The following is a 6000-nucleotide window of genomic DNA, read 5'->3' as shown; positions in this document are numbered from 1 at the left end:
TGCTCTGCAGCCTCTGCTGGTGATACCCAGGCAAACAGGGTCTGGAGTGGACTTCCAGGAAACTCCAACAGACCTGCAGCTGAGGAGCCTGACTGTTAGAAGGAAAACTAACAAATAGGAAGGGATAACATCAACATCAACAAAAAGGACATCCACACCAAAACCCCATCTGTAGGTCACCATGATCAAAGACCGAAGATAGATAAAACCACAAAGATGGGGAGAAACCAGAGCAGGAAAGCTGAAAATTCTAAAAACCAGAGCACCTCTTCTCCTCCACAGGATGGCAGCTCTTTGCCAGCAATGGAACAAAGCTGGACGGAGAATGACTTTGATGAGTTGACAGAAGCAGGCTTCAGAAGGTTGGTAATAACAAACATCTCCGAGCTAAAGAAGGATGTTCGAACCCATTGCAAGGAAGCTAAAAACCTTGAAAAAAGATTATATGAATGGTGATCTAGGATAAACAATGTAGAGAAGACCTTAAATGACCTAATGGAGCTGAAAACCATGGCACGAGAACTACATGACGCATGAGCAAGCTTCAGTAGCTGATTTGATCAAGTGGAAGAAAGGGTATCGGTGACAGAAGATCAAATGAATGAAATGAAGTGAGAAGAGAAGTGTAGAGAAAAAAGAGTAAAAAGAAATGAACAAAGCCTCCAAGAAATATGGGACTATGTGAAAAGACCAAATCTACGTTTGATTGGTGTACCTGAAAGTGACAGGGAGAAAGGACAAAACTGGAAAAGACTCTTCAGGATATCATCCAGGAGAACTTCCCCAACCTAGCAAGACAGGCCAACATTCAAATTCAGGAAATACAGAGAACACCACAAAGATACTCCTCGAGAAGGGCAACCCAAAGACACATAATCATCAGATTCACCAAGGTTAAAATGAGGGAAAAAATGCTAAGAGCAGCCAGAGAGAAAGGTCAGGTTACCCACAAACGGAATCCCATCAAACTAACAGTGGATCTCTTGGCAGAAACTCTACAAGCCAGAAGAGAATGATGGCCAATATTCAACATTCTTACAGAGAAGAATTTGCAACCCAGAATTTCATATCCAGCCAAACTAAACTTCATAAGTGAAGGAGAAATAAAATCCTTTACAGACAAGCAAATGCTGAGAGATTTTGTCACCACCAGGCCTGCCTTACAAGAGCTCCTGAAGGAAGCACTAAACATGGAAAGGAACAACCAGTACCAGCCACTGCAAAAACATGCCAAATTGTAAAGACCATTGATGCTAGGAAGAAACTGCATCAACTAATGAGCAAAATAACCAGCTAACATCATAATGACAGGATCAAATTCACACACAACAATATTAACCTTAAATGTAAATGGGCTAAATGCCCCAATTAAAAAACACAGAGTGGCAAATTGGATAAAGAGTCAAGACCCATCAGGGTGCTGTATTCAGGAGACCCATCTCACATGCAGAGACACACACAAGCTCAAAATAAAGGGATGGAGGAAGATCTACCAACAAATGGAAAGCAAAAAAAAAAAAAAAAGCAGAGGTTGCAATCCTAGCATCTAATAAAATGGACTTTAAATCAACAAAGATCAAAAAAGACAAAGAACGCCATTACACAATGGCAAAGGGATCAATTCAACAAGAAGAGCTAACCATCCTAAATATATATGCACCCAATATAGGGGCACCCAGATTCATAAAGCAAGTCCTTAGAGATCTACAAAGAGACATAGACTTCCACACAATAATAATGGGAGACTTTAATACCCCACTTTCAATATTAAAAAGATCAACAAGACAGAAGGTTAACAAGGATATCCAGGACTTGAATTCAACTCTGCACTAAGTAGAACTAATAGACATCTACGGAACTCTCCACCCCAAATCAACAGAACATACATTCTTCTCAGCACCACATCGCATTTATTCCAAAATTGACCACATAGTTGGAAGTAAAGCACTCCTCAGCAAATGTAACACAATAAACTGTCTCCCAGACCACAGTGCAATCAAATTAAAACTCAGGATTAAGAAACCCACTCAAAACCGCACAACTACATGGAAACTGAACAACCTGCTCCTGAATGACTACTGGGTACATAACGAAATTAAGGCAGAAATAAAGATGTTCTTTGAAACCAATGAGAACAAAGACACAACATACCAGAATCTCTGGGACACATTTAAAGCAGTGTGTACAGGGAAATTTATAGCACTAAATGCCCACAAGAGAAAGCAGGAAAGATCAAAAATTGACACCCTAACATCACAATTAAAAGAACTACAGAAGCAAGAGCAAACACATTCAGAAGCTTGCAGAAGGCAAGAAATAACTAAGATCAGAGCAGAACTGAAGGAGATAGACAGACACACACACAAAATACCCTTCAAAAAATCAATGAATCCAGGAGCTGGTTTCTTGAAAAGATCAACAAAATTGATAGACCACTATCAAGACTAATGAAGAAGAAAAGAGAGAAGAATCAAATAGATGCAATAAAAAATGATAAAGGGGATATCACCACCAATCCCACAGAAATACAAACTACCATCAGAGAATACTATAAACTTTGCTACACAAATAAACGAGAAAATCTAGAAGAAATGGATAAATTCCTGGACACATACACCCTCCCAAGAGTAAACCAGGAAGAAGTTGAATCACTGAATAGACCAATAACAAATTCTGAAATTGAGGCAATAATTAATAGCCCACCAACCAAAAAAAGTCCAGGACCAGATGGATTCACAGCCGAATTCTACCAGAGGTACAAGGAGGTGCTGGTACCATTCCTTCTGAAACTATTCCAATCAATAGAAAAAGAGGAAACCCTCCCTAACTCATTTTATGAGGCCAGCATCATTCTGATACAAAAGTCTGGCAGAGACAAATGAAAAAGAGAATTTTAGACCAATATCCCTGATGAACATCATTGTGAAAATCCTCAATAAAATACTGGCAAACCAAATCCAGCAGCACACCAAAAAACTTATCCACCAAGATCAAGTTGGCTTCATTACTGGGATGCAAGGCTGTTTCAACATATGCAAATCAATAAACACAATCCATCACATAAACAGAACCAAAGACAAAAACCACATGATTATCTCAATAGATGCAGAAAAGGCCTTCAACAAAATTCAACAACACTTCATGCTAAAAATTCTCAATAAACTAGATACTGACGGAACGTATCTCAAAATAATAAGAGCTATTTATGACAAACCCATAGCCAGTATCATACTGAATGGGCAAAAACAGGAAGCATTCCTTTTGAAAACTGGCACAAGACAGGGATGCCCTCTCTCACCACTCCTATTCAACATAGTATTGGAAATTCTGGCCAGGGCAATCAGGCAAGAGAAAGAAATAGTGTATTCAATTAGGAAAAGAGGAAGTCAAATTGTCCCTGTTTGCAGGTGACATGATTGTATATATAGAAAACCCCATTGTCTCAGCCCAAAAACTCCTTAAGCTGATAAGCAACTTCAGCAAAATCTCCAGATACAAAATCAATGTGCAAAAATTGCAAGCATTCCTATACACCAATAACAGACAAACAGAGAGCAAAATCATGAGTGAGCTCCCATTCTCAATTGCTACAAAGAGAATAAAATACCTAGGAATCCAACTTACAAGGGATGTGAAGGACCTCTTCAAAGAGAACTACAAACCACTGCTCAAGGAAATAAAAGAGGACACAAACAAATGGAAGAACATTCTATGCTCATGGATAGGAAGAATCAATATCATGAAAATGACCATACTGTCCCAAGTAACTTATAGATTCAATGCCGTCCCCATCAAGCTACCAATGACTTTCTTCACAGAATTGGAAAAAACTACTTTAAAGTTCATATGGAACCAAAAAAGAGCCCACATAGCCAAGACAATCCTAAGCAAAAGGAACAAAGCTGGAGGCATCATGCTACCTGACTTCAAACTATACTACAAGGCTACAGTAACCAAAACAGCATGGTACTGGTACCAAAACAGAGATATAGACCAATGGAACAGAACAGAGGCCTCAGAAATTACACCACACATCTACAATCATCTGATCTTTGACAAACCTGACAAAAACAAGAAATGGGGAAAGGATGCCCTATTTAATAAATGGTGCTGGGAAAACTGGCTGGCCATACGTAGAAAGCTGAAATTGAATCCCTTCTTTACACCTTACACAAAAATTTATTCAAGATGGATTAAAGACTTAAATATTAGACCTAAAACCATAAAAACCCCCCTAGAAGTACACCTAGGCAATACCATTCAGGACATGGGCATGTGCAAGGACTTCATGACTAAAACACCAAAAGCAACGGCAACTGAAGCCCAAATAGACAACTGGGATCTAATTAAACTAAAGAGCTTCTGCACAGCAAAAGAAACTACCATCAGAGTGAACAGGCAACCTACAAAATGGGAGAAAATTTTTGCAATCTACCCATCTGACAAAGGGCTAATATCCTGAATCTACAAAGAACTGAAACGAATTTACAAGAAAAAAATCAAACAACCCTATGAAAAAGGGGGCAAAGGATATGCACCAACACTTTTCAAAAGAAGACATTTATGCAGCCAACAGACACATGAAAAAATGCTCATCATCCCTGGTCATCAGAGAAATGAAAATCAAAACCACAATGAGATACCATCTGACACCAGTTAGAATGGCAATCATTAAAAAGTCAGGAAACAACAGGTGCTGGAGAGGATGTGGAGAAATATGAACACTTTTACACTGTTGGTGGGACTGTAAACTAGTTCAACCATTGTGGAAGACAGTGTGGTGATTCCTCAAGGATCTAGAACTAGAAATACCATTTGGCCCAGCGATCCCATTACTGCGTATATACTCAAAGTATTATAAATCATGCTGCTATTAAGATACGTGCACATGTATGTTTATTGCAGCACTATTCACAACAGCAAAGACTTGGAACCAACCCAAATGTCCATCAATGATAGACTGGATTAAGAAAGCACGGCACATATACACCATGGAATACTATGCAGCCATAAAAAAGGATGAGTTCATGTCCTTTGCAGGGTCATAGATGAAGCTGGAAATCATCATTCTGAGCAAACTATTGTAAGGACAGAAAACCACACACCACATGTTCTCACTCATAAGTGGGAATTGAACAATGAGAACACTTGGACACAGGGTGGGGAACATCACACACCAGGGCCTGTTGTGGGGTGGGGGGATGGGGGAGGGATAGCATTAGGAGAAATACCTAATGTAAATGATGAGTTAATGGACACAGCAAACCAACATGGCACATGTATACATATGTAAAAAACCTGCACGTTGTGCACATGTATGCTAGAACTTAAAGTATAATAATAATAATAATAATAAAGATAAGAGATTTTAGAGGCCAAGGTTCTTATTATGAGATAAAGCCTCCAGGTAGCAGGCTACAGATAGAATAGATTGTAAATGTTACTTATTAGACTTAAAATGGTGTCAGACTTTGGTTGATTCTCTCCTGGATCAATAAAAAGACCTGGAAAAGGGAAAGGGGACTTTTTACAGAATGTAGAGTTTTCCCCAAAACAGATCACTTTGCAGGTCTATTTCAAGATATACCCAAGAAACATACGTGTGGTTAAAATATTATGATTTCTTTTCTTATCTGTCATGATGTTATGCCAGAGTCAGTTTGGAAAGTAAGCCACATTAAATGGGTTAAATAAAATTTCTCTGATAAGAGTCTATGGCTTGTAGGATATGACTCCCCAGGCCCCTTAGATAAGAATTTGGACAAGAGAAGAAAAAAAGGTCAGAATTTAGTCCTCAATATGATGCATTATTCAATATATACCAGGATAAAGCCTTCACTTCTGACCATGCATCAATGAGAACCAAATTATCCACTTAGAATTTTATCCATGTGATTACTGGGATAATTTTCCATGGACTAGTTTCCAGCTCTGGAGATTTGAAACTTGGTTTATTATGGTTGTTATACTGTGATAGTTAATATTAAGTGTCAACTTGAT

The sequence above is a fragment of the Homo sapiens genome, chromosome 5 (assembly GCF_000001405.40).
Source record: "Homo sapiens chromosome 5, GRCh38.p14 Primary Assembly".
In the NCBI taxonomy this organism is placed as follows: domain Eukaryota; kingdom Metazoa; phylum Chordata; class Mammalia; order Primates; family Hominidae; genus Homo; species Homo sapiens.
The sequence above is the reverse complement of the archived record's forward strand: the minus strand, read 5'-3'. Positions refer to the sequence as shown.